Raw genomic sequence first — 27,316 nt, forward strand, 5'->3', positions numbered from 1 at the left:
GTAAGTTGAGATCATACCACTGCACTCCAGCCTGGGCGACAGAACAAGACCCTGTCTCAAAACAACAACAACAACAACAAAATCTGAACCTTTTATTTAATGGGAAAAATACCTCAATGAAATAACAATTGGGAAATAAACACATTAGTTATTTAAAACCGAAAAAAGACACACAAATATTACCGTGGCCAGGCCTGTAATCACAACATTTTAGGAGACCAAGGTGGGAGGATCGCTTGAGCCCAGGAGTTTGAGACCAGCCTGGGCAACATGGTGAGACCTCCTCTCTAGGAAAAAAAAAAAAAAAAAAAAAAAAGCTGGGCATGGTGGCGTGCAACTGTAGTCCAAGCTACTCCAGAGGCGGGAGGATTCCCAAGCCCAGGAGGCCAAGGCTGCAGTAAGCCATGATCACAGAGAGAGCCAGACCCTGTCTCAAAAAAAAAAAAAAAAAAAATTATTGCACAACTAATGAGAAAGATAACACAATTGAATAAGAACTCATCAAGGGCTGGATGCAGTGGCTCATGCCTGTAATCCCAGCATTTTGGGAGGCTGAGGTGGGTGGATCACTTGAGGGCAGGAGTTCAAGACCAGCCTGGCCAACATGGTGAAACCCTGTCTCTACTAAAAATACAAAAATTAGCCATGAGTGGTGGCACATGCTTGTAATCCCAGCTACTCAGGAGGCTGAGGCAGGAGAATCACTTGAACCTGGGAAGCAGAGGTTGCAGTGAGTCGAGATCGTGCCACTGCACTCCAGCCTGGGTGACAGAGCAAAACTCTGTCTCAAAAACAAACAAACAAACAACAACAACAACAACAAAAACCCATCAAGGATGCAATCAAGGATGCAGATCTGTTACCAGAAAGGAGTCAGGACTTCAGGCTAATAATAGAGTGAATGGAAAGCTTTGGCCAGTCAGCAAAGGCACGTTGGGACTTGCAGCATGTTGGCTGCATGTGAAGTTACATCCAGCCACAGTGAAGCGATCACTAAAAAGTTGAGTTCCTGGGAAACACGGTACACAGCATGAGGCGTCAGTAATGTGAGGAGTGTGTTCTTTAGAATGGTCAATAATGTTAGAATGATGGAGTTCACCATTCAAGGGAACATTCTCGGGAACTAACTGAGCTGCGCTGGTGGTGTGATCACCGGACACCCTGCTGTCCTCTCTGTCCGTGCCCATGACATGTCCTTGGCACAGACACCCCTGTGGAGCCCAGGGCCTGGCCGCTTCCTTGGCTGAGAAGCTGTCCCTGTCTAGGCCTCAGTTTTGTCTTCTGCAGAATGGGGGTGCTTGCAGCTCCCACTGAAATGCAGCTGCAAGCCTCCCTCTCTGAGCTCACGTCCCTAGGAACTGGTCCCCCACCTTGGTGCCTTGGAGTGTGTGGGGAGGGGGCAAGAGGCTGGGGGCCTGGGACAAAGAGGGTGGAGGATGGTTCTGGGTCTGGTGTCTCCACCCAAACTTTCCACTGCCAGCCTGCCTCTGCCCAGGCCTCTCAGCAGCCTGCTGGGTGGGGCAGGAGTGCAGGAGTTGGGTGGGGAGTGGAAAAGGTCCAGGAGGGCTGCTGCATTGCTAGGAGTGGTTTATTTTTATTTATTTATTTGTTTGTTTGTTTATTTATTTTTGAGATGGAGTCTTGCTCTGTTGCCCAGGCTGGAGTGCAGTGGCGCGATCTCGGCTCACTGCAAGCTCTGCCTCCCGGGTTCATGCCATTCTCCTGCCTCAGCCTCCCGAGTAGCTGGGACTACAGGTGCCCGCCACCATGCCCGGCTAATTTTGTTTTGTATTTTTAGTAGAGACGGGGTTTCACCGTGTTAGCCAGTATGGTCTCGATCTCCTGACCTCGTGATCCACCCGCGTCGGCCTCCCAAAGTGCTGGGATTACAGGCTTTATTTTTATTTTTTGAGACAGAGTCTAGCTCTGTCGCCCAGGCTGCAGTGCAGTGGTGTGATCTCGGCTCACTACAACGTCCGCCTCCCCAGCTCAAGCAATTCTCCTGCCTCAGCCTCCCAGGTAGCTGGGATTACAGGTGTCCACCACCACACCTGGCCAATTTTTTGTATTTTCTATAGAGAAGGGGTTTCACCATGTTGGCCAGGCTGGTCTTGAACTCCTGACCTCAAGTGATCCACCTACCTTGGCCTCCCAAAGTGCTGGGATTACAGGCGTGAGCTACCATGCCCAGCCAGGAGTGGTTTCTGTTCAGCTCCCACACCATCCCTGCCTTTCAGAAACAGATTTCAGTCCTGCCCGCCCCCCCCCCCCCCCCCGCCTCCCCCAGTCTACTTCCCCAACCCTGGATTCTCTTCTAGAGTCTTGGGCCCAAGCGGGCTATATTGGGGCTGGCGGGAGGGTCCCCACCTTGCTCTGCTTTTGATCTAGGTGGTGATGGAATGCTAGGCCACCCACCACCCTAAAACCCACCTCATCCTGACCTGCAAAATTGGTGGGAAGATGGTAACAGTCCTGGAAGGAGGAACAAGAGAGACTTGAAGGAGAGAAGTGGGACAGGAATACGCGGTAGACAGTTATAGACAGAGACAAACAGAGCCAGACAGCCAGCCCCAGAGACAGAACCCACAGGAGAGGCACGCCCAGAGGTGAGGAAAGGCAGAGGTTGGGGCAATGGGTCCTGCCCGGCTTGTGGAAAATCACTTCCCATCCCAGCCTCAGCCTCCTTCTCTGTACAATGGGGGTGACCCATGCTTCTCTCTGTTGGAATGGTGGGGTCCCAATCAGTGATTTCCTGCATATCCTGGGCAGCCCAAGGGCCTGGGAAATGACAAGCGTAGTCCTAGTGGATCCCCTCCTTTCACCCCTCCTGACTGAGGACTTCCCATGAACCCGGCACACTCCAGGACCCAGGGGTGCAGCACTGAGCCAACCAGGCCGCCCTCCGACCCTGTGAAGTCCCCCTGTCTGGCACTATCGTCGTTGTTGTGGCTGCTGTTCCACTGGAGACTTAGAAGCAGGGATTTCAGCGCAGACATTTCCAGTCTAGGCAGGAGGTTCTCAGCTGGAGAGAAGGGTCTAGAGTTCCCGCTGGGCTTGGCTTCTCAGGACCCAACATGTCTGTGGATAAAATGAGCATGAGAGACTCTCCTGTGTGCCAGGCAGTGGGAAGACAGGGGTGGAGGGGCGGTGGCTCTTATTATCAGCTCCTAGGAGAGGGGCAGTGCACCCGGGCTCTGGGTGATGGGGGGATCAGGGCCCCCAAGAAGAGGCGCCACTCCCACTTCGCCAGGCTTGCCCCAGGGCCAGGGTCCGTGCCAGGTGTGGGTGGTGGGTGGGAAGGGGTGGGGTGAGTCATCAGGGCCAGCCCCGCCCTGCTTTTATTTAAGGTCCCCAGCAGGCCCCACCACCACGGCTGCCCAACCCGGTCCCAGCCATGTCCGTGAGTGCTCCAGGGGCCCGGGGCGGGGCCAAGCAGGGAGGGGGCTGGGGGCTCCTCTTTCAAAGGAGCAAGTGGGCAGTGAGTGTGCCACGGACTGGCCTGGGCTGTGGCCTCCGGGTAACCCCCATCCCGACTGTCCCCTCTACCTCTTTGTGGCTTCCTCTGGGGCCCTCTTTGAGGATCTTTCTGTTTGTCTTTGTTGCTCTCCCCATCTGTTTCCCTGTCTGTTTCTGGTCTCTTTCCTGCCTCTCCGCCACCCTTTCCTCTTCCACTGATTTCTGCCAGTCTCAGCCCTGGTCGGCTCCTCTGAGGGGTGACCCACCTTCTGCCTCCCTCCTTCGGTCTCACCGGCTCACAGTGGCCCCTGCACCCCACTCTTGCAGAACGTCCCCCACAAGTCCTCACTGCCCGAGGGCATCCGCCCTGGCACGGTGCTGAGAATTCGCGGCTTGGTTCCTCCCAATGCCAGCAGGTGAGGCCCCAGGCCCTAGGGGTAAAGGGTACAGGTCTCAGGATCAGCTGACTCCCAATTTTTGCAGTCCAGAAGTAGGGGCCCGAGGCCACCTGTATCCACCAGGCTAGGAGTCCGAGGCCATTTCTGACCTCAAATCTGATGTATTCGTATTTGCCCCCGTGCCTTTGTGGCTGGGGTCCCTAAGTTTCCCTAAGCATTTGAGGTCCCTGGGTAATCTCAGGGTTCCTAGATATAGTCCTATGACTTCCATGTCTGAGTCCCAGGGAACTCTGGAAATACTCCAAGTCCTGGAGACACCCTGGACCCTGGGAGTCCTTGCCAAGCCATCCTTTGACTTCCTGGCTAAGGAACTTCGGGCCTTCTGGATTCTGAGGTACCCTGGAAATACTGGGGTTCCTGGTATTATTCTTTGTCCTGTAGAAGCTGAGGGTTCCCTGAGCATCAGGAGCACCCTGGCTATCACCCAGACCTCCTGGGCAGCTCCCAGGCTCTTTGGAAATGAGGGCACCCTGCCCTAAGCGTAGTGAGTTTGGTCTGGGTAGGTTTCTGCCAAGGGCCTCATGATATTTTGGCTGCCTTGGGAATCTAAGCTCCCTGGTCATTAGTCGCCCACCTCTCCTTCTGCGGTGTGTGCCTGTCTTCAGGTCCCTGTTAATTTGGGGGTACTCTGGGAATGGGGAGTGCCAGCCCATAAGACCTTCACTTTGGTCTGGGCGGTTTATGTTTTGTTTGTTCTTTCGTTTTTTTGTAAGGTGGGGTCTCGCTATGTTGCCCAGGCTGGTCTTTAACTTCCGGGCCCAAGCGATCCTCCCTTCTCCACCTCCCAGAGTGCTGGGATTACAGGGTGAGCCACTGCACCCAGCCAACATTTCATTTACTTATTCATTCAAAGTAAATTGTAGACATCGGTATTCCTCACCCTCAACATTTCTTGGTCTGGGTGGTTTCTGAGCCCTGACGGCCACCATCCCCCTCTTCCAGGTTCCATGTAAACCTGCTGTGCGGGGAGGAGCAGGGCTCCGATGCCGCCCTGCATTTCAACCCCCGGCTGGACACGTCGGAGGTGGTCTTCAACAGCAAGGAGCAAGGCTCCTGGGGCCGCGAGGAGCGCGGGCCGGGCGTTCCTTTCCAGCGCGGGCAGCCCTTCGAGGTGCTCATCATCGCGTCAGACGACGGCTTCAAGGTGCGTCTCTGCGACAGGGGCGTGGACGCCAAGACTTAGGTCCCTGGAGCAGAGGGTTGGGCAAAGCCAGGCTATTGGTGGAAGGCAGGGAGGTTCGGGGCGGGGTGAGGGGGGTAGGGAAGTCGTGGCCAAGGCGGAGAAGGGTGTCCTTCGACCCTCTCTCTCGCCTAAACAACTCCCACTTGGGTCCGAGGGACAGAGAGACAGCAGGGTCAGGACGAGGCGAGCACCAGCCAAGTGTCCAAGGGGTGGGCGTCCTAGCGGGAAGGCGTGGCCCAGACTCGCCATCCCAGACCCTACTCCCAGTTCATTCCTTCCTGAGGTCCGGGGTTTGAGGCATGGGGAGGGATGGGTTGGAAACAGCGCCCAGGAACTCGTCCTAGCAAGGATTGGCGGGTGGGAGTGGCGGCAGATCCTCCACCACCCACAGCTTACGCGAATTCACCTCCCTCCTCTGCGCTTTAATAGCGGGTAATGGTCGCTGAAATGAGAATATCCATTACCAGCACTAAAAAAGCCGCTTTTTACTGTGCCACACAGTCAACTCGTTTGATCCTCACGCAAGAGTTAGAATGAACAATAGCCCCATTTTCCCAGTGAGGAAACTGAGGCCCAGAGGGGATGAGTGATTTCCCCAGGGCCACCCAGCACGGGCCTCCGGAATCCTCACCACCGACCCTCCCCTGCAGGCCGTGGTTGGGGACGCCCAGTACCACCACTTCCGCCACCGCCTGCCGCTGGCGCGCGTGCGCCTGGTGGAGGTGGGCGGGGACGTGCAGCTGGACTCCGTGAGGATCTTCTGAGCAGAAGCCCAGGCGGGCCCGGGGCCTTGGCTGGCAAATAAAGCGTTAGCCCGCAGCGCGACTGTGTCTGTGTCCCATTCACTGAGATGAGCAAACTGAGACCCAGAGAGGCCAAGATACTGGCTCCGGGCCACACAGCGAATCCGAGGCGGAGGCGGGCTCTGAGCCTGCCTGTGCTTAGGACACTTTCTGTCTGCGAAGGCGTGAGGGTCGCGATCTGGGAAGGAGTGGGTGTGGGGCGTGCCCTGACGCAGCATTTGTGCAAAGCAAGCCAGCTGGGAATGCGGTCGGGCGGACCTGCTGGCGTTTGGGGCGCAGAGGCGCTCACCGCAGGTCCTGGTGCCCCCACTGCAGATCTAAGGGGCGCCAACATGGGTCCATCTGCAAAGGGGGCGAATGAGTCCCACCTTTCTGGTCATTTGTGGGCCCCAATCCTACGGGTGGAAAGCGTGTTATAAGATCCCGGGTCCCTGGGTCCCGTATCCCCCTGCAGCTCATCTCTCCCACCCTCTTCTCTCCTGGCCTCCCGCCCCTAGAGACGTCCCAGGTGGGGCTGGGAAGCCCGACGGGCGTCTCCGGGCTCCCGCTGTTCCCCGAGTCGGGACAGGTACCCGCCTGCGCACCCTCGGGGCAGACGCGATGGCAGCGGCCCCGGCTCTGCGGAACAGCTGGGAGGACTCGAAGGACGGCGTGGGTTTTCCCTGGCGCAGCGAGCCCCATTCCCACGCGCCCTCCGCTCTCCCCGACGGCCCGGACCCCGGTCCTAGCCCTGGTCACTGTGACGGGAGGGGAAGCGGACGCCAAGTGCAGCCCCGGCCCCAGTGTGACTTTCAGGGTTCAGGGCGTCGCTGGGGCTTCCCTTAATGGCGGGGTTGGGGTGGGAGAGGCTGGGAGCACTGTGCGCCTCGAGCCCCCACCCTCGGCGAGGCACCCTGCAGCGGTCGCGGGTCTCTCAACCGGGGACCGAGGAGCCAGGCCAGGGCTGCGATCGGAAGCTGCACGTGGGTGTTCAGGGCCGGCTGTTCCGGAACCTTAGTGCAGAGCCACATCTTGGTGGGCGCGCCAGGCCTTGGGTCTCGATCCCCGCCCTTGAGCCTCCGACCCCCTGGCGTCCGCCTTCCGCATTGCTGCCTGGACCAAGGCGGATGCAGGAAGCTGGGGTGGTTCCTGGCCTGGCCTGAATCTGATTCTGGAGTCAGGTGGGGACGCCAGGTTCGCTGCAGGTCCCAGGCGCATTCAGGACCCGGGGTTTTAGGCCCCTGCGACCTTCGGTCTGGGCGGTCCCTTCCCGTGTCCGGCCCTGGAGTGGGTGGGCGGTGGCCAGGAGCGAGCCCAGCTCTGGTGAGGAGGCCTGTGAGAGGCCGGTTTCTCCCAGTCCTCCGGGGCTCCTGCTTGAATGAGTTCGCTCTTATTTCATTTGGCTGTGTCGAGTGTTTTTAAAATATCAGTTTTTTCATAAAGATAATATATGCATCTGGTATACATTTCAAAACATACAGTGAAATGAACACACATTATTGGCACAAGTGGTGAATGTGGTTGGGTCTTCGGATTAGACAGTAGCGATCCAGCCGTGTTAATGTCCTGAATTTCACCGTTGACTGACAGTGTACATGTGGGAACTTGTCCCTGTTTGTGGAAAATAGAGTTAGGTATTTGGTGGTGCAGCATGTTTGCGACTTATTCTCAAATGGTTCTGAGGCAGGAAAATAGGGTCTGGAGGCAGGGAACATAAGGCTGATTCACACTTCAGCTATGACAGGAAACATCCTCTCCATTTACATAGGGCGTACAGCAAGTAACCAATGGAAACCTCTAGAAGGTATTTAAATGCCAAAAAATTATGTAACCCAGCCCTTGAGCCCCTATGCTCCGCCGCACCCACACTGTGGGGTGTATTTTTATTTTCAATAAATCTCTGCCTTTGTTGCTTCATTATTTCCTTGCTTTGTGCGTTTTGCCCAATTCTTCATTCAAGAGACCAAGCACCTGGACACCCTCCATCGGTAACAGTTCATCAAAAATTTTTAAATAAAAAATTTTTTTTGTTGAGGCAGGGTCTTGCTCTGTTGCCCAGGCTGAGTGGAGTTGTGGATAAGGGCTTACTGCAGCCTCAACCTCCCAGGCTGAAGCCATCCTCCCACCTCAGCCCCCCAAGTAGCTGAGACTACAGGCACGTGCCATGGTGCCAGGCTAATTTTTTTGGGGGGGGCGGGTGTTTGTAGAGCCAGGGTCTTGCTATGTTGCCCAGGCTGGTCTTGAACTCCTGGACTCAAACTCCTGAGCTCAAGCGATCCTCCCACCGAGGCTTCCCAGAGTGCTGGGATTACAGGTGTGAGCCATGGTGCCCAACCTAAATCCTTCTTTATTAAGTTTGTCTTCAAAGAAATTTAGAATTTATGATTCAGCTTCCCTTCTCTCCTCCCCATCCTCCTGGATCTTTCTGTAACAGCTCTATTGACATATAACTCATATGCTATACAAGTCACCCATTCAAAGTATACAAGTCAATGTTTTTCAGTATATTCACAAGGTTGTGCATCCATCAACACAATCTAATTTTAGAACATTTTTATCATCTCAAAAGACCTTGGCTCACAGATGTAATCCCAGCACTTTGGGAGCCTGAAGCGGAAGGATTGATTGAGCCCAGGAGTTCAAGACCAGCCTGAGGCCGGGCGCTGTGGCTCACACTTGTAATCTCAGCACTTTGGGAGGCTGAGATGGGCGGATCACTTGAGCTCAGGAGCTCGAGACTAGCCTGGCCAACATGGCAAAACCACATCTCTACTCAAAATACAAAAAATTAGCCAGGCGTGGTGGCACGCACCTGTAATCCCAGCTACGTGGGAGGCTGAGGCAGGAGAATTGCTTGAACCCGGTAGGCGGAGGCTGCAGTGAGCAGATAGCACCATTGCACTCCAGCCTGGGTGACAGAGCAAAGCTCTGTGTCAAAAAAAAAAAAAAAAAAAAAAAAAAACAACCTGGGAAATATAGGGAGACCTCATCTCTACAAAAAATAATTTTAGCTGGGCATGGTGGTACACACCTGTGGTCCCAGTTACTCGGGAGGCTGAGCTAGGAGGATGGCTTGAGCTGGAGAGGTCGAGGCTGCAGAGAGCCGTGATCGCTCCACTGCACTCCAGCTTGAGCAACAGAGTGAAACCCTGTTTCAGAAACAAAACAAAACAAAAAAGAACAACTAAAAGAAACCCCATACCCATAAGCAGTCACTCCCCAACTTGCCCCTCCCCCAGCACCTGGCAATCACTAACCTACTTTCCAGCTGTATGGATTTATGAATCTGCTTGTTTTCCACACGTGGAATCATACAATATGTGGCCCTGTATATCTGGCTTCTTCCACGGAGCATCATGTTTTCAGGGTTTGTCCATGTCATAGCATGCATCAGCACTTCATTCCTTTTCATGGCTGAATGCTGTTCCAATGTGTGGATCGAATATACGCGTTTACCCATTCATCATGGTGAATAATGGATATCTGGGTTGTTCCTACATCTTGGCTATTATGAATAATGCTGCTATGAACCTATTGTGTGAACATGTTTTCATGTCTCTTGGGTAAGTACCTAGGAGAATTTCTGGGTCAGGCCAGGTGCTGTGGCTCATGCCTGTAATTCCACCACTTTGGGAGGCCAAGGCAGATGGATCACCTGAGGTCAGGAGTTCGAGACCAGCCTGATCAACATGGAAAAGCCCCATCTCTACTAAAAATACAAAATTAACCGGGCGTGGTGGTGCATGCCTGTAATCCCAGCTACTTGGGAGACTGAGGCAGGAGAATCGCTTGAACCCAGGAGGTGGAGGTTTCAGCGAGCCGAGATCGCACCACTGCACTCCAGTCTGGGCATCAAGAGCGAAACTCCGTCTCAAAAAAGAAAAAAAAAAAAAGAATTCCTGGGTCACATGACTCTTTTAAGTTCCGTTTCAAAGAACTGCCAAACCATTTTCCAAAGTAACTGTAACATTTTACATTACCATCAGCAACATATGTGTTCCTATTTCTCCATGTTCTCTCCAACACTTGTTATTGTCTTTTTTTTTTTTTTGAGACAGGGTCTTGTTCTGTTGTGTAGGCTGGAGTGCAGTGGTGAAATCATGGCTCACTGCAGCCTCCACCTCCTGGGCTCAAGCAATTCTCCTACCTCAGGCCTCCCAATTAGTTGGAACTATAGGTGTGCGTCCCCATGCTTGGCTAATTTTTAAAAATTTTTTGTAGAGACAGGTTCTTGCTATGTTGCCCAGGCTGGTCCTGAACTCTTAGCCTCAAGTGATCCTCCCACCCCGGCCTCCCAAAGTGCTGGGATTACAGGCATGAGCCACCACACCTGACCTATCTGTCTTTTTTATTATAGCCATCCTAATAGGTTGGCTTCACCACTTGGTGAAGAGATATGTCATGTGGTTTTGATTTGCATTTCCCTAATGACATGGGTTGCCGTTTATATATCTTCTTTGCAGAAATGTTTATCGAAATTTTCTGCCCATTTTAAATTGGATTTTTAAAAGGTGTTATATAATCTTATCCATAAATATGTGTATAATTCTAAATGATATTTATTTTTTAATTTTTATTTTTGAGATGGGGTCTCACTATGCTGCCCAGGCTGGTCTCAAACTCCCAGGTTCAAACAGTCTTCCCACCTTAGCCTCCCAAGTAGCTAGGATTACAGGCATCTGCCACCACGCCTGGCAGGCTCTCTTTTTAAACAAAACCTCATTACCATTCTAACTCCTAAAAAATTTACAGTTCATATCATTGTATGATACAATGTTTGCAAAGTTTGTATGCAAAGGTTTCCCCCAACATTTTATTATGAATTTTTTCAGACATGCAGAAAAGTTAAAAGAATTATTCTATGAATACCTCATATACCCTAACCAGATTCTATATAACATTTTACTCAACTTGCTTTATCACACATAGATCCATCTATCCACCCTTCTATCCATCCATCACCATCTTCTTTTTTTCTTTTCTTCTTCTTCTTTTTTTTTTTTTTTTTGAGAGGAGTCTCACTCTGTTGCCAGGCTGGAGTGCAGTGGCGCGATCTCGGCTCACTGCAACCTCTGCCTCCCAGGTTCAAGCGATTCTCCTGCCCCAGCCTCCCGAGTAGCTGGGATTACAGGCACCCACCACTATGCCCGGCTAATTTTTTGTATTTTTGGTAGAGACAGAGTTTCACCACGTTGGCCAGGCTAGTCTCAAAAATTCCTGACCTTGTGATTCGCCTGCCTCGGCCTCCCAAAGTGTTGGGATTACATGCGTGAGCCACCACACCTGGCCAAAAAATATGGAACACTTCACAAATTTGCATGTCATCCTTGCGCAGGGGCCATGCTAATCTTCTCTGCATCATTCCAGATTTTAGTATATGTGCTGCTGAAGCGAGCACTATTTCTTTATTTTATTTTAATATTTTGTATTTTTGTATTTTTGTATTTTTTTTTTATTGATCATTCTTGGGTGTTTCTCGCAGAGGGGGGATTTGGCAGGGTCACAGGACAATAGTGGAGGGAAGGTCAGCAGATAAACAAGTGAACAAAGGTCTCTGGTTTTCCTAGGCAGAGTGTGTGTGTCCCTGGGTACTTGAGATTAGGGAATGGTGATGACTCTTAACGAGCATGCTGCCTTCAAGCATCTGTTTAACAAAGCACATCTTGCACCGCCCTTAATCCATTTAACCCTGAGTGGACACAGCACATGTTTCAGAGAGCACAGGGTTGGGGGTAAGGTCATAGATCAACAGGATCCCAAGGCAGAAGAATTTTTCTTAGTACAGAACAAAATGAAAAGTCTCCCATGTCTACTTCTTTCTACACAGACACAGCAACCATCCGATTTCTCAATCTTTTCCCCACCTTTCCCCCTTTTCTATTCCGCAAAACTGCCATTGTCATCATGGCCCGTTCTCAATGAGCTGTTGGGTACACCTCCCAGACGGGGTGGTGGCCGGGCAGAGGGGCTCCTCACTTCCCAGTAGGGGCGGCCGGGCAGAGGCGCCCCTCACCTCCCGGACCGGGCGGCTGGCCGGGCAGGGGGCTGACCCCCCACCTCCCTCCCGGACGGGGCGTCTCGCCTGGCGGGGGGCTGACCCCCCCACCTCCCTCCCGGACGGGGCGGCTGGCTGGGCAGGGGGCTGACTCCCCCACCTCCCTCCCGGACGGGGCGGCTGGCCGGGCAGAGGGGCTCCTCACTTCCCAGTAGGGGCGGCCGGGCAGAGGCGCCCCTCACCTCCCAGACGGGGTGGCTGGCCGGGGCGGCTGGCCGGGCGGGGGGCTGACCCCCCCACCTCCCTTCCGGACGGGGTGGCTGCCGGGCGGAGACGCTCCTCACTTCCCAGACAGGGTGGCAGCCGGGCGGAGGGGCTCCTCACTTCTCAGATGGGGCGGTTGCCAGGCGGAGGGTCTCCTCCCTTCTCAGACGGGGCGGCCGGGCAGAGACGCTCCTCACCTCCCAGACGGGGCGGCGGGGCAGAGGCGCTCCCCACATCTCAGACGATGGGCGGCCGGGCAGAGACGCTCCTCACTTCCTAGATGGGATGGTGGCCGGGAAGAGGTGCTCCTCACTTCCTAGGTGAGATGGCGGCCGGGCAGAGACGCTCCTCACTTTCCAGACTGGGCAGCCAGGCAGAGGGACTCCTCACGTCCCAGATGATGGGCGGCCAGGCAGAGACGCACCTCACTTCCCAGACGGGGTAGCGGCCGGGCAGAGGCTGCACTCTTGGCACTTTGGGAGGCCAAGGCAGGCGGCTGGGAGGTGGAGGTTGTAGCTGAGATCACGCCACTGCACTCCAGCCTGGGCACCATTGAGCACTGAGTTAACGAGACTCCGTCTGCAATCCCGGCACCTCGGGAGGCCGAGGCTGGCGGATCACTCGCGGTTAGGAGCTGGAGACCAGCCCGGCCAACACAGCGAAACCCCGTCTCCACCAAAAAAATACGAAAACCAGTCAGGCGTGGCGGCGCGCGCCTGCAATCGCAGGCACTCGGCAGGCTGAGGCAGGAGAATCAGGCAGGGAGGTTGCAGTGAGCCGAGATGGCAGCAGCACAGTCCAGAGGGAGACCGTGGAAAGAGGAGAGGGAGAGGGGGAGGGGGAGGGGGAGGGAGCTATTTTGTATTTTTTTAGAAACAGAGTTTTGCTCTGTTGTCCAGACTAGAGTGCAGTGGCCTGATTATGGTTCACGGCAGCGTTGAACTCCTGGGCACAAGCCAACCTCCTGCCTCAGCCTCCCTAGCAGCTGGAACTACAGATGTTTGCTACATCTGGCTTACTTTTTTATTTTTTGTAGAGACAGGGTCTCGCCATGTTGCCCAGGCTGGTCTTGAACTCCTGGGCTCAAGCAATCTTCCCACCTCGTCTCCCAAAGTGCTGGGATTACAGGCTCATGCCATCGCACCCAGCCATCATTTTATTTACTTATCCATTCGAAGTAAATTGTAAACATCAGTATTTGTCACCCCTAAACATTTCAGAAGTACATCATTAGCTAGAGTACAATATTTGTTTATGATTCTTTCCTTGTGGTAAGCTTTGCGGAAAGATTCTTTGTTTATATTGGTGAAATGCACAAATCTAAAATGTACAGTTGGCTGGGCACAGCGACTCACGCCGGTAATCCCGACACTTTGGGCGGCTAGGGCAGGAGCATTGCTTGAGCCCAGGGAGTCGAGATCAGCCTGAGCAACATAAGGAGACCCCCGTCTTTATAAATATATATATTTTTAATTAGCTGGGCATGGTGGTGCACACCTGTGGTCCCAGCTACCTGGGAGGCTGGAGTGGGAGGATCACTTGAGTCCCAGAGGTTGAGCCTGCAATGAGCTGTGATCACACCACTGCACTCCAGCCTGGGCAATAGAGTGAGATCCTGTCTCAATAAAAACAAAAATAAAAAGAATTTAATAAAATAAAATATACAGCCAATGAGTTCTAACAAATGCACAGAGCTGTGTGACCTAGGGTATGGAACATATCCATCACTCCAGAAAGTTGCTTTAGACATGCAAACATTTAAACTTAGTTTGAGTCATGCTAATAACCGGTTTTACAGCATTTTATCCAATTAATAATATAGAGGGTTTAATTCGTCACTTCATGGTTTGTCCTGAAGCTTGCTAACCCATTACATCAGAAAGCCAACCCAGCTAATTTGAAAGTGGATGAGTCAGTGACTGGTGAATAAGTAAACACGAGAGTGAATAAAGAATAGATGGATGAATGAAAATGTAAAGAAATCAGCTGGGGGCAGTGGCTCACGCCTGTAATCCCAGCACTTTGGGAGGCCAAGGTGGGTGTATCACGAGTCAAGAGATTGAGACCATCCTGGCCAACATGGTGAAACCCTGTTTCTACTAAAAATACAAAAATTAGCTGGGCATGGTGGCGCATGCCTGTAGCCCCAGCTACTCAGGAGGCTGAAGCAGGAGAATCACTTGAACCCATGAGGCGGAGGTTGCAGTGAGCTGAGATGGCACCACTGCACTCCAGCCTGGCGACAGAGCAAGACTCCGTCTCAAAAAAAGAAAGAAAAAAAAGAAAGAAATCAATGAATGGGCCAGGCACGGTGGCCCACGCCTGTAATCCCAGCACTTTGGGAGGCGGAGGCAGGCGCACCACCTGAGGTCAGGAGTTCAAGACCAGCCTGGCCAACATGGCAAAACCCTGTCTCTACTAAAAATACAAAAATTAGCTGGGCGTGGTGGTGGGTGCCTGTAATTCCAGCTACTCAGGAGGCTGAGGCAGGAGAATTGCTTGAACGGGAGATGGCAGTTGCAGTGACCTGAGACAGCACCATTGCACTCCAGCCTGGATGACAAGAGCAAAACTCTGTCTCAAAAAAAAAATAAATAAAAATAAAAACAAGAAATCAATGAATGATGAAATCAGCAAAAGAGTGATTTGATGAAAGCATGGTTGGGTGGACAGATGGAGAGAAGAAAATATAAATGAATGGATAACTTTCCAGCTTGAGTTGGAAAAGGGTTGGAAAAAAATAGATAATGAAGAGATGAATGGATAATTGGATAGAAAGAGATGGAAAAGTGATGAATTGCTGAATGGAGGGATGAATGGGCATATGGAGGACAAATGGATGACTGTGATGGAAAGCAGAGAATTACATGGACAAATGGAGGGATGAATAAATGAATGGATGGACGAAAGTTAGACTTCGTAAGGATGGCTGAATGAATAGACAGATAGACTGGTATATGGTTAGATGTTTGGATGGATGGAGAAGATGATGGATGATCAGATGCATGGGTGATGGATAAAAGGTTGAATGAAAGAATGGATGGATAAACAGCTGGATAGAGCTAGACAGACTGGTGAGTAGATGAATAGTTGCATGTTTGGATGAATGGGTGAACATATGGTTGACTGGATGTTTGGAGAGATTGACGATGAGATGATGAGTGCAGAGGTAAATGGATGGGTAGATGGATAAAGGGTTGGATGAAAGGATGGTTGAACAATCAGCTCAATGGATGGATTGATGAGGTCTAGATGGTTGGATGTTTGATTGATGGATGGTTGGATGGACTTTTGGTTGGATACATGGAGAGATTGATGGATGTTGGGATACACGAGTGGAGAGATGGATGCATGGATGGATGGAACGACAGGCTGTATAGTGGTTAAGTGTGCAGATCCTTGGGAGCCAGATCAGCTGGATTTGAATCCTCCTTCTGCCATTTATGCAATGTATAATTTGGGCAATTTGTTTTATTTTCCTTTGTTTCCTCATCTGTTACAGAGGGATGATAATAATTGTTTCTACCTCTTGGGGTTGCTGTGAGAAGTGAATGAGCCCTAAATCAGTGCTTGGGGCATAACCAGATTTATGATGACAGGAGGATGGATGGTCAGATGACTGGATGGATGAAGGATAGATGAAGTGCATGACTGAACCAAGGAAGGGAAGAGTAGCCGGGGAGCAGATGGAGACACACACTCATGAGACACCCTCAGACATTTTATTAGGGGCTTAGAAAGGAGTCCTAGGGGATAATTCTGTTTTCCCATGAGTTATGGCCCCAGGAATAGATTAGATCTGGACATAGGACAAGGTGACATCACCCTGGATTTCCAATGTGTCCACCCTCTGGAAGGCCGAGAGGCGATGGGCAAAGTCAAAGAGGTGCTGGCCATTGGCGTAAACCTTGAAGCGATCCAAGCCACAGCGAATGGACAGCTGCAGGGAGAAGGGTGGGCATGAGGCCAGGGCCAGGACTGAGGCCCTGGAAGGAAGTGGGAAAAGAGAGCTCAGACTCACATCAAAGAACTGTCCGGGACCAAATGGGTTGTGGGTGATCTTCTTCTCCTCGGATCCCCACGAGCCATTCAGAAGGCTGTTCCGGACCACGGTACCGTTGCCCATGCGGGGATTAATGTGCAGAGCTATGTCCCCTGAGGAGCCCACCTTGAAGTTGATAGCAAAGCTGGGGACAGAGAGGGATGGGGGAGTCAGATGGAGTCCAGTGGGAAGAGGCCAGTGGGCTGGACCTCTGAATCCCTAAAGGAGGAGGGGACAGAGGGTCTAGATTGTTGGGTCTGAGGGAGGAGGGGGCTGGGGGTTCCCACCTAGTTTACGTTATACCTCTTGCCTGTGGGAGGCACATAGCCCTTGATGATGATGGTTCTTCGAGCTGTGAGCCCTCCTTGCAGCCTCCCGAAATATGGCACAGGCTGTGGGAAGAGAACGGGGGGTCCCATTCTCTCTCAGCTTAGCAGAGCCAGATGTGGGAAGAAATTTTCTTTTTCTTTTCTTTTCTTTCCTGTCTTTTTTTCTTATAAGAGATGGGGTCTTACTCTGTCACCCAGGCTGGAGTGCAGTGGCATGATCAAGCCTCACTGCAGCCTCAAACTGCTGGGCTCAAGCAATCCTCCCATCTCAGCCTCCCGAAGTGCTGGGATTACAGGCGTGAGCCACCACGCCCAGCCTTGCAGGAACAAAGGAACAAATTTTGTTTTTTTTTTTAGGCAGAGTCTCCCTCTGACGCCCAGGCTGGAGTGTAGTGGCATAATCTCAGCTCACTGCAACCTCTGCCTCCTAGGTTCAAGCAATTCTGCTGCCTCAGCCTTCCTAGTAGCTGGGATTACAGGTGTGCGCCACCACACCTGGCTAACTTTTGTCATTTTAGTAGAGACGGGGATTCATCATGTTGACCAGGCTGATCTGGAACTCTTGACCTCAAGTGATCCACCTGCCTTGGCCTCCCAAAGGGCTGGGATTATAGGCATGAGCCACCGTGTCTGGCCAAGAATAAATTTTCTTTTTCTTTTCTTTTTCTTTTTTTTTTTTTTTTTTTTTTTTTGAGATGGAGTCTCGTTCTGTCACCAGGTTGGAGTACTGTGGCACGATCCCGGCTCACTGCAACCTCCGACTCCCTGGTTCAAGCGATTCTCCTGCCTCAGCTTCCTGAGTAGCTGGGATTACAGGCGCGCGCCACCATGCCCAGCTAATTTTTGTATTTTTAGTAGAGACAGAGTTTCACTATGCTGGCCAGGATGGTCTCGATCGATCTCCTGACCTCGTGATCTGTCCGCCTTGGCATCCCAAAGTGCTGGGATTACAGGCGTGAGCCACCATGTCCAGCCCAAGAACAAATTTTCTGAGAGGTCCCACTCCTCCTGGAAAACATCCCCAATTCCTTCTGCTCCCTAAACCTGACCACGAACTCTATCTACCCTTCCCCTACCTCCCACCCCAAAACCCTCAGCCCACTCCCTTTCTGGCTGTCTCAGATTCCCTGGAGATCCGTGCCCCCTCCCCACCATCCATCTCTGTTTCCCCAAGCCATACCGGGTTGAAGGTTGGGGGTCCTTCCATGGTCTGTGAAGTGAGGAAGAAGCGATATTATTCTCCAAGAGTCGACAGATATCTATGACACACCCATTAGACTCCGGCGTTTCTCTAGGTGCTGGGTTAGTACACCTTGGGCTGCAACCCCTCTTAGCTCCCCCTACCCCAATTCTCACCATTCCCACTCCTCACCCGGGGCCCTCCCAGCCCTCCCACTCACGGGCAGGCTGTTCAGCTGTTGATGGCAATGTCCGGGACCCTGAACGATGGACAGAAGGCAGGAAGGGTGAGAGGGGCTGAGGGACCCCACTAGGGAGGAAGACCCTCACCTATCAGCAAGTACTTACAGGGTAAGGTGGCATCATCGGGGGTCCCTGTGGGCACAGAAAGAGAAAGCGGTTATGAGAGGGTCCCCAGATTTGCGACTGAAAGATGTCGAGAGTGCCTGCCCTGGGGTGGCCCACCACCACCACCACTATGCCAGAGAACTCTGGCATCAAAGGGTGGCACCCCGATCACAGATTCACGGAGAGGGGCACCCCATGTTCTGGGATCGCTGATGCCCAGTGAGTCACCCCAAAGCTTTAGGACAATGCTTGGTCCATTTTGTTCTCTGTGCCCTTCCCCTTGCTGTCTTCCTGCTGTCCCGGGGCCCTCACTCGCTGATCTTGATCTCAGTTTCTGCCTCTGTCCCTGTGTCTCTGCCTCTCTCTCTGTCTTGGCCACACCTCAGCGCAGGGGCTTCCTTCTGCCAAACACTTTTATTTATTTATTTGAGATGGAATTTCGCTCTTGTTGCCCAGGGTGCCGTGCAGTGGCACGATCTCTGCTCACCTCAACCTCTGCCTCCTGGGTTCAAGTGATTCTCCTGCCTCAGCCTCCGGTGTAGCTGGGATTACAAGCATGCGCCACCACGCCCAGCTAATTTTGTATTTTTAATAGAGATGGGGTTTCTCCATGTTGGTCAGGCTGGTCTCAAACTCCCGACCTCAGGTGATCCGCTCGCCTCACCCTCCCAAGTCTAACACCTTTAACTTTTACTCTCTCTCTTTCTCTCTGTTACCTTCTCTTTTCTCCTCCTTGTAATTAACTCCATTCTGCCTTGACTTCTATTCTCAGCCAGCTATTCTGAAGGCCTTTTAAAAGTAGCTTTATATAGCCGGGCGTGGTGGCAGGTGCCTGTAATCACAGCTACTTGGGAGGCTGAGGAAGAATTCCTTAAACCTGGGAGGCAGAGGGTGCAGTGAGCTGAGATCATGCCACTGCACTCCAACCTGGGCCACAGAGCAAGACTCCATCTAAAAAAAAAACAAAAAACAAAAAACAAACAAACAAATAAACGTAGCTTTATAAGCCGGGGGCTGTGGCTCACGCCTGTAATCTCAGGACTTTGGGAGGCTGAGGTGGGTGGATCACCTGAGGTCAGGAGTTCAAGACCAGCCTGGACAACATAGGAAAATTCCTCCCCTCTGTCTTTACAAAAAATTTAAAAACTAGCTGGGGCTGGTGGTGCGTGCCTGTAGTCCCAGCTACTCAGGAGACTGAGGTGGGAGGATCACTTGAACCCAGGAAGTCAAGAATACAGTAGGCTGTGATTGCACCACCACACTCCAGCCTGGGTGACAGAGCCAGACCCTGCCTCAAAAATAATAATAATAATAATAATAATAATAATAATAATAATAATATTGATAAACTCAATTTAATTGTATGTTATTTATTTTTAATGATTGTGTTAAGCAACCTCTAGGGAATTCATTCACTATCGTGTGTTCTTTGCCTTTCCTTATCCTCACTTTCTGACTCACCTTACACACTTCCTCCTACTCCAGGAAGCACTTCCTTCCTGACCCATGACTAGTCAAGCCCTTCCTGTAGGCTCCCAAACCTCCTGTATACTCCATATCCCAGCCCCTGCCCCTCTGCCTGTGCCCTCCCTATCACAGACCTGACCATTTCTGGGCTGTCACTCTCTGATGCCATGTCTGTGAGCCCAGTGAGGTCAGGGCCCAGAGATATCTCAGTCATTCCTGTCTCCAGCCCTGGGCCTGACCCCTCTGCCTGCCTCCACCCACCCTCCTGTCCTGGCCCTGATCCCTCTGTCTGGGCCCAAACCCAACTGCAACCCTTCAGCCAGGGCCTCCCCATCCCGGCCTTTATCCCTTGCAGTGATGGGTCTGTCTTCCCAGTGGGATCCCTTGATCATCACTGGGCTCTTGGCATAACTCAGCAGAGGGAGATGCTTGGGAAATAAATGAATGTGGAATGCGCTGGGCACCATGGCTCACACCTGTAATCCCAGCACTCTGGGAGACTGTAGCCAGCAGATCACTTGAGGCCAGGAGTTCCAGACCAGCCTGGCCAACATGGTGAAACCCCGTCTCTACTAAAAATACAAAAATTAGCCAGATGTGATGGTGGGTGCCTGTAATCCCAGCTACTTGGGAGGCTGAGGCAGGAGAATTGCTTAAAACTGGGAGGCAGAGGTTGCAGTGAGCCAGAATCACACCACTGTACTCCAGCCTGGGAGACAGAGCAAGACTCCATCTCAAAAAGAAAAAATAGACCAACTGCGGTGGCTCACGCCTGTAATCCCAGCACTTTGGGAAGTCGAGGTGGGTGGATCATGAGGTAAGGAGATCGAGACCATCTTGGCTAACACAGTGAAACCCTGTCTCTACTAAAAATACAAAAAAATTAGCCGGGCGTGGTGGCAGGCTCCTGTAGTCCCAGCTATTTGGGAGGCTGAGGCAGGAGAATGGCGTGAACCTGGGAGGCGGAGCTTGCAGTGAGCCAAGATCGCGCCACTGCACTCCAACCTGGGCGACAGAGTGAGACTCCGTCTCAAAAAAAAAAGAAAAAAAGAAAAAAAGAAAAAAAATGAATGTGGAACTGAATTTAGAAAGAAAGGACGCAAGAAGGGATGGGACCCCTCACACCTGGGGCCGGAGGGGCTGGCCTCCGATGAAGTTGATTGATTGAAGTTGCAGATCCCCATCCACTTGCAGGTGGGTGACCATCTGTAGGGGAAGCCGGTGCCCGTACTCATAGAAGGGATTTCCATTTACCACCACCTGGAGGGCAGAGATGGGAGGTCAGGAGTCAGCACCCATGATCCTGGGAAGGTACAAACAGGAAGCAAGGGCAGGGCACCCTGGCTCACGCCTCTAATCCCAGCACTTTGGGAGGCTGAGGGGGGTGGATCATTTGAGATCAGGAGTGTGAGACCAGTCTGGCCAACATAGTGAAACCCCATCTCTACTAAAAATACAAAAATTAGCCAGGCATGGTGGCGGGCTCCTGTAATCCCAGATACTCAGGAGGCTGAGGCAGGAGAATCGCCTGAACCCGGGAGGTGGAGGTTGCAGTGAGTGGAGATCACGCTGCTGCACTCCAGCTTGGGTGACAGAGCAAGACTCTGTCTCAAAAAAAAAAAAAAGCAAGGATCAGGGATCTTTTTCATTGGGAGTCGATAGTCTTGGGGATGAGCTGGGACAGCCTCAGCATCAGGAACCTTGGAGTCCACAGCTCAGAGGTCAAGCTAAGGTCAAAAATCAGCTCACTGGCCGGGCGCAGTGGCTCATGCCTGTAATCCCAGCACTTTAGGAAGCCAAGGTGGGGGATCATTTGAGATCAAGAGTTCGAGACCAGCTTGAGAAACATAGCAAGACCCCGTCTTTACAAAAATATACAAAAATTAGCCGGGCGTGGTGGTGTGCACCTAGAGTCCCAGCTACTCCGGAGGCTAATGTGAGAGGATCACCTGAGCCCGGGGAGGTTGAGGCTGTAGTGAGCTGTTTGCATCACTGCACTCCAGCCTGGGCAACAGAGCGAGACCCAGTCTCAAGAGGAAAACAAAAAGTACACGTTTTGCAAAAAACACAAAGTGGTAGGAGGAAATACACATGAAATGTATTACAAGACTCTCAGCAGTAGGGTAATGGGACTAAGGAAAAGCGCTAAAAGAGGATTTTTAAAAATAGGCAGGAAACGGCCGCCCTTCGTCTGGGAGGTGAGGAGCGCCTCTGCCCGGCCGCCCCGTCTGGGAAGTGAGGAGCGCCTCTGCCAGGCCGCCCTGTCTGGGAAGTGTACCCAACAGCTCCGAAGAGACAGCGACCATCAAGAATGGGCCATGATGACGATGGCGGTTTTGTCGAAAAGAAAAGGGGGAAATGTGGGGAAAAGAAAGAGAGATCAGATTGTTACTGTGTCTGTGTAGAAAGAAGTAGACATAGAAGACTCCATTTTGTTCTGTACTAAGAAAAATTCTTCTGCCTTGAGTTGCTGTTAATCTGTAACCTTACCCTGTGTTCCCTGAGACATGTGGTGTGTCAACTCAGGGTTAAATGGATTAAGGGCTGTGCAGGATGTGCTTTGTTAAACAGAGGCTTGAAGGCAGCATGCTCCTTAAGAGTCATCACCACTCCCTAATCTCAAGTACCCAGGGACACAAACACTGTGGAAGGCCGCAGGGCCCTCTGCCTAGGAAAACCAGAGACCTTTGTTCACGTGTTTATCTGCTGACCTTCTCTCCACTATTATCCTATGACCCTGCCACATCCCCCTCTCTGAGAAACACCCAAGAATGATCAATAAATAAAAATAAATAAATAAATAAATAATAAAATAAAATAAAATAGGCAGGAAAGAAGGAAAAGAAAAGAAAGAAGTTGACATAAAAAGTGGGGATGGAAAAAGGAAATAAATGAAGGAGGGAAGGAGAGAGAAGGAAGAAGAGAGGAGGGAAGGGGGAAGGAAGGAGGGGAGGAAAGAGGAGAGAACAGAGAAAGAGGAAGGAAAAAGAGGAAAAAGAAGGAAGGGGCTGGGTGTGGTGGCTCACGCCTGTAATTCCAGCACTTTGGGAGGCCAAGGAGGGCAGAACACCTGAGGTCGGGAGTTCGAGGCCAGCCTGGGCAACATGGTGAAACCCCATCTCTACTCAAAATACAGAAATTAGCTGAGCGTGGTGGCACGCGCCTATAATCCCAGCTACTCGGGAGGCTGAGGCAGGAGAAGCTCTTGAACCCAGCAGGCAGAGGTTGCAGTAAGCTGAGATCATGCCACTGCACTCCAGCCTGGGCAACAGAGTGAAACTCCATCTCAAAAAAAAAAAAAAAAAAAAGAAAGAAAGAAAGAAAAGGAAGGAAGGCGGGAAGGAAGGAAGCAGCCAAGATGGCGCCACTGCACTCCAGCTTGGGAAACAAGAGAGAAAGCATGCAGACCTTGTAGTGCTCAGCCAGGACTATGAAGACCAGCTCAAAGGCGGCACCCTTTTTGAAGGGCATGCTCCTCTTCCTCTCCTCGCTGCCCCACTTCCCGCCCTGCAACGTGTTGAAGACCACCTTGTCCCAGCCGTCAAACCGCGGATTGAAGTGGAAGGCGACGTCTGAGCCCGGATCCTGCCCAACCACAAAGTTCACGAAGAACCTGGCGGGACACAAAGGGCTCATTCCCCTGGTGCCACCTCCCGGGGCCTGGGGGCCTCCTCCAGGAAGCCCTCTCCCTGCCGCCCTGTCCTCGGCCTCCCTGGCCCGGACCTCAGCACCAGCTCTGAGGGGCAACCTTGGCACTGTGGGCCACAGCGTGGAGAGGACCTGAGTTCTGAGGGGGGCAGATTCCCACCACCACACCTTCGCTCACAGCCTTTCCTTCTTTTTTTTTTTTTTTTTTTTTTTGAGATGGAGTCTTGCTCTGTTGCCCAGGCTGGAGTTGGAGTGCCGCGATCTCAGCTCACTGCAACCTCCGCCTCCTGGATTCCAGTGATTCTCCTGCCTCAGCCTCCCAAGTAGCTGGGATTACAGGCGTGCACCACCACGTCCGGCTAATTTTTGTATTTTTAGTAGAGACAGGGTTTCACCATGTTGGCCAGGCTGATCTCAAACTCCTGACCTCAGGTGATCCACCTGCCTCGGCTTCCCAAAGTGCTGGGATTACAGGTGTGAGACACCGTGCCTGACATTTTTTTTCTTGAGACAGGGTCTTGTGTTCTCACCCTGTCCCCCAGGCTGGAGTACAGTGGCCACGATGGTGGCTCACTGCAGCCTCAACCTCCTGGGTCAACTGATTCTCCTGCCTCAGCCTCCCTAGTAGCTGGGACTACAGGTGCATGCCACTATGCCTGGCTTTTTTTTTTTTTTTTTTTTTTTTTTGTAGAGATGGGGTCTCACTATGTTGCCGAGGCTGGTCTCAAACTCCCGGGCTCAAGCAATCCTACCACCTCGGCCTCTCAGAGTGCTGGGATTACAGGTGTGAGTTGCTGTACCCAGCCCACCTTGCCTTCTTAGACCACCTCCTCCACCCTCTTCCCAACTTCCAGTTATGACTGTTACAAGTCTGCCACGGGCCAGGCCCTGTCCTATGCACTTTGGGTCTCCCTGCTCCCCTCCTGGCCCTGAAGATCATTTCCCTCATGCAGCCAGAGGGTCCCTGTGTACACCCATGACGCATCATATTCCGCACCCCTGGGCACACCAGCATCCTTGAAATTACTCCCCAGGACAGGCCTGTCTCAGGGCCTTTGCACTGGCTGTTCCCTCTGCCTGGAAGGCCCTTCCCTCAGCTGTCCCTGGGGATCCCTCTCTCCGTTCCTTCTGTTCTTTGCTGATATGTTCCCTTCCCAGGCAGGCCTTCTCTGGCCACCTTTTTAATTTTTTTGAGACAGTCTCCCTTTGTCACCTAGGCTGGAGTGCAGTGATGCGATCTCAGCTCACTGCAAACTCTGCCTTCAGGATTCAAGTGATTCTCCCACATCAGGCTCTCAAGTAGCTGGGATTACAGGCACCTGTCACCATGCCTGGCTAATTTTGTATTTTCAGCAGAGATGAGATTTCGCCTTTTTTTTTTTTTTTTTTTTTTTTTTGAGATGGAGTCTCGCTCTTTCGCCCAGGCTGGAGTGCAGTGGCGCAATCTTGGCTCACTGCAAGCTCCGCCTCCTGGTTTCACGCCATTCTCCTGCCTCAGCCTCCCGAGTAGCTGGGACTACAGGCACCCGCCACCATGCCCAGCTAATTTTTTGTATTTTTAGTAGAGACGGGGTTTCACTGTGTTAGCCAGGATGGTCTCGATCTCCTGACCTCGTGATCCGCCCGTCTCTGCCTCCCAAAGTGCTGGGATTACAGACGTGAGCCACCACGCCCAGCCAGATGCGATTTTGCCATTTTGGCCAGGCTAGTCTCGAGCTCCTGACCTCAGGTGATCTGCCTGGCTTAGCCACCCAAAGTGCTGGGATTACAGGCGTAAGCCACCATGCCCGGCCAGGCCACCCTATTTAAGGGGACAATTTAAAGGGAACCTCTGTCCGCACATACACTCCCCATCTCCCTTCCCTCCTCATTTTCTTCATAGCACTTAATATCATCTGACATCTTACATATTTGACTTTTTTTTTTTTTTTTTTTGAGACAGAGTCTCACTCTTGTTGCCCAGGCTGTAGTGCAATGGCACGATCTCGGCTCACCGAAACCTCCACTTCCCAGGTTCAAGTGATTCTCCTGCCTCAGCCTCCTGAGTAGCTGGGATTACAGGCATGCGCCACCACGCCCTGGTAATTTTGTATTTTTAGTAGAGACAGGGTTTCTCCATTTTGGTCAGGCTGGTCTTGAACTCCCGATCTCAGGTGATCTGCCTGCCTAGGCCTCCTAAAGTGCTGGGATTACAGGCCTGAGCTACCGCGCCCGGCCTGGACTTATTTTTTATGTTTCCCCTACTAGGACATCAGCTCCACGAGGGCAGGGGTCTCTGTCCTGTTCACTCCTCCATCCCTAGTGCCAGGACACAGAATAGGCACTCAGTGAAGAAGTAAACAATAAATAAATAAACAACAGGCTGGGCAGAGTGGCTCATACCAGTGCCTGATCCTCCCAGCACTTTAGGAGGCCGAGGCTAGAGGATCGCTTGAGCACAGGAGTTCAAGACCAGCCTGGGCAACATAACAAGACTTTGTCTCTACAAAACAAATAATAATAATAAATAAAAATTAAAAATTAAATTAGTTGGGCATGGTGGCACATGTCTGTAGTCCCATCTGCTTGGAAAGATGAGGTAGGAGGATCACTTTAGCCCAGGAGTTGGAGGCCGAAGTGAGCTATAATATTGTGCCACTGCACTCCAGCTTGGGCAACAGAGCAAGACCCTATCTCTAAGGAAAAAAAAAGTCCTATGAGGCCAATCATTATCAACGTGTTAAGGCCCTTTTTAAAAAGCTAAGACTGGGCCAGGCGCAGTGGCTCACGCCTGTAATCCCAGCACTTTGGGAGGCCGAGATGGGAGGATCACTTGAGGTCAGGAGTTCGAGACCAGCCTGACCAACATGGTGAAACCCCATCTCTACTAAAAATACAAAAATTAGCCAGTGTGCTGGCACATGCCTGTAATCCCAGCTACTCAAGAGGCTGAGGCAGGAGAATCGCTTGAACCTGGGAGACAGAGGTTGCAGTGAGCCAAGATCATGCCATTGCACTCCAGCCTGGGCGACAAGAGCAAAACTCCATCTCAAAACAAAAAAAAAAACAAAAAAAACAAAAACAGAAAAGAAAAGAAAATGAAGCACAGAGAGGTATAGTCACTTTCACTCTTTCACCAACACAGAGCTGGGGAGTGGCAGAGCTGGGATTTTAACTCGGGGACCCGGCTCTGAGCCTGTGATCTGAATTCCTGCCATTGCACCCATCAGCTTCAGTCTAATGTCCAACTCAGGGACTGCCTCTCACGGTGAGCCCTCCCTGAACCTTCTGGCCCCCACGTCCCCACTCCTGATCTGCCCCAGATTCATCTCTGGCTATTGGGTGGGGCAGAAAAAGAGTCCCCTCTCCACCAGGGTGGGGTAAGGGCAGAAAGCCCCCAACAGCCAGGCCCAGAGCACCCAGTTGGAAGTCCCCTGCCAGCCCGGCCTGGCTTGGGGAGGGTCTTACCGCTTCATGTGCTCGCTGGCCACTCCTTGGATGTAAACAGACATTCCCACGTTGAGCCCGCCCGGGATGGGCTGGTAGTAAGGCAGCGTCTGGAGAAGAGGCCTGGTGAGGGGACTCACAAGCCATCTGCCTGTTGCAGCCTTTACCCCTCCCAGAAAAGCCCCCCAGTCCCTTAAGCAGGAGAGAGGAAACCATGGGGGAGGACCAGGTTGAAGATGACGAGGGCCAACAGTTAGACGTGGACACAGACAGCCTGAGGTCAGGGTAGGAGTAAATCGAGGGTCGGGGTCAGCTTTGGGTAAATCAGACCACAGAGTCAGATGGGGCCCCCCAGGATCAGAGTGGGGAAAATTGGTGTGAGGGCTTATGGACGGAGCTGCGGGCGGAGTGGGGCCTGAGCTGGCATCTCACCGGGTTGTAGGTGGGCTGGTAGCCCGGTGCGGGGACATAGGCCATCGCTCGAGGCTGCGCTAGTGGCTGGTCCTGTGAGAAGAGCTGCAGGAGTGGGAGATGGTGGCGGATGGCAGGCGGTGGTGGCTCTTATACCCAGGGTAAGGGAGTGGCTGGCAGGGGAGGGTCCACAGGGCTCCTCTTCTGGGACTCTCAGGCTGTCGGCTTCTCCTAGAGCGCACCCTAGTCTCCCTTCCCTTGCCAGCTTCCCTGGTGACCAGCCAGGACCCAAATCACCTGGGTCCCCTCCCCTACGCCCTCCTGCAAA

At 52.3% G+C, this 27,316-nt stretch overlaps 2 protein-coding genes and 1 pseudogene across 3 annotated transcripts, besides 2 other annotated features; 1 reads left to right on the top strand and 2 right to left on the bottom strand.

The window, feature by feature from the left end:
• The first annotated feature begins 3,367 nt into the window (after nucleotides 1-3,367).
• On the top strand, nucleotides 3,368-5,922 carry LGALS7B (galectin 7B). Its single transcript, NM_001042507.4, has 4 exons — nucleotides 3,368-3,400; nucleotides 3,784-3,872; nucleotides 4,857-5,058; nucleotides 5,748-5,922. Exons 1-4 carry the CDS (start codon nucleotides 3,395-3,397, stop codon nucleotides 5,859-5,861), a joined length of 411 nt encoding a protein of 136 aa, NP_001035972.1. The 5' UTR covers nucleotides 3,368-3,394; the 3' UTR covers nucleotides 5,862-5,922.
• Nucleotides 6,599-7,298: an enhancer, noted in NCBI's record as "H3K27ac-H3K4me1 hESC enhancer chr19:39283071-39283770 (GRCh37/hg19 assembly coordinates)". NCBI's record gives its function as "activates a minimal SCP1, AML or CMV promoter by ChIP-STARR-seq in primed H9 embryonic stem cells {active_cell/tissue: H9 hESC(primed)}" and the evidence as "EXISTENCE:reporter gene assay evidence [ECO:0000049][PMID:30033119]".
• Nucleotides 11,171-11,277, bottom strand: RNU6-140P (RNA, U6 small nuclear 140, pseudogene; annotated as a pseudogene).
• Nucleotides 11,251-12,165: an enhancer, noted in NCBI's record as "NANOG-H3K27ac hESC enhancer chr19:39287723-39288637 (GRCh37/hg19 assembly coordinates)". NCBI's record gives its function as "activates a minimal SCP1, AML or CMV promoter by ChIP-STARR-seq in primed H9 embryonic stem cells {active_cell/tissue: H9 hESC(primed)}" and the evidence as "EXISTENCE:reporter gene assay evidence [ECO:0000049][PMID:30033119]".
• Nucleotides 15,842-27,113, bottom strand: LGALS4 (galectin 4). 2 transcript variants are annotated; one of them, NM_006149.4, is made up of 10 exons: nucleotides 27,010-27,113; nucleotides 26,599-26,687; nucleotides 22,912-23,116; nucleotides 20,629-20,763; nucleotides 18,037-18,063; nucleotides 17,910-17,948; nucleotides 17,690-17,719; nucleotides 16,484-16,572; nucleotides 16,160-16,325; nucleotides 15,842-16,078 (listed from the first exon to the last, which is right to left on the bottom strand). In NM_006149.4, the coding sequence occupies exons 1-10, from the start codon at nucleotides 27,052-27,054 to the stop codon at nucleotides 15,932-15,934; spliced, it is 972 nt and encodes a 323-aa protein (NP_006140.1). In that variant the 5' UTR covers nucleotides 27,055-27,113; the 3' UTR covers nucleotides 15,842-15,931. The 2 variants fall into 2 exon arrangements, with proteins under 2 accessions (NP_006140.1, XP_011525275.1); XM_011526973.3 differs by lacking the exon at nucleotides 17,910-17,948.
• Between the last annotated feature and the right edge of the window lie 203 nt (nucleotides 27,114-27,316).

Source organism: Homo sapiens, chromosome 19 (genome assembly GCF_000001405.40).
Source record: "Homo sapiens chromosome 19, GRCh38.p14 Primary Assembly".
NCBI classification, from domain to species: domain Eukaryota; kingdom Metazoa; phylum Chordata; class Mammalia; order Primates; family Hominidae; genus Homo; species Homo sapiens.

Bases quoted from the DNA above. Each gene is read 5' to 3' on its own strand.
- LGALS4 (NM_006149.4), bottom strand. From the start codon at position 27,054: ATGGCCTATGTCCCCGCACCGGGCTACCAGCCCACCTACAACCCG. The intron at 23,117-26,598 runs GTAAGACCCTCC...GTGTCCCGCCAG, and splicing joins GCCAGCGAGCACATGAAGCG to GTTCTTCGTGAACTTTGTGG. The intron at 16,573-17,689 runs GTATGGCTTGGG...CTCTTCCCACAG, and splicing joins GACCCCCAACCTTCAACCCG to CCTGTGCCATATTTCGGGAG.
- LGALS7B (NM_001042507.4), top strand. The intron at 3,873-4,856 runs GTGAGGCCCCAG...CCCCTCTTCCAG, and splicing joins GTTCCTCCCAATGCCAGCAG to GTTCCATGTAAACCTGCTGT. The intron at 5,059-5,747 runs GTGCGTCTCTGC...CCTCCCCTGCAG, and splicing joins CGTCAGACGACGGCTTCAAG to GCCGTGGTTGGGGACGCCCA.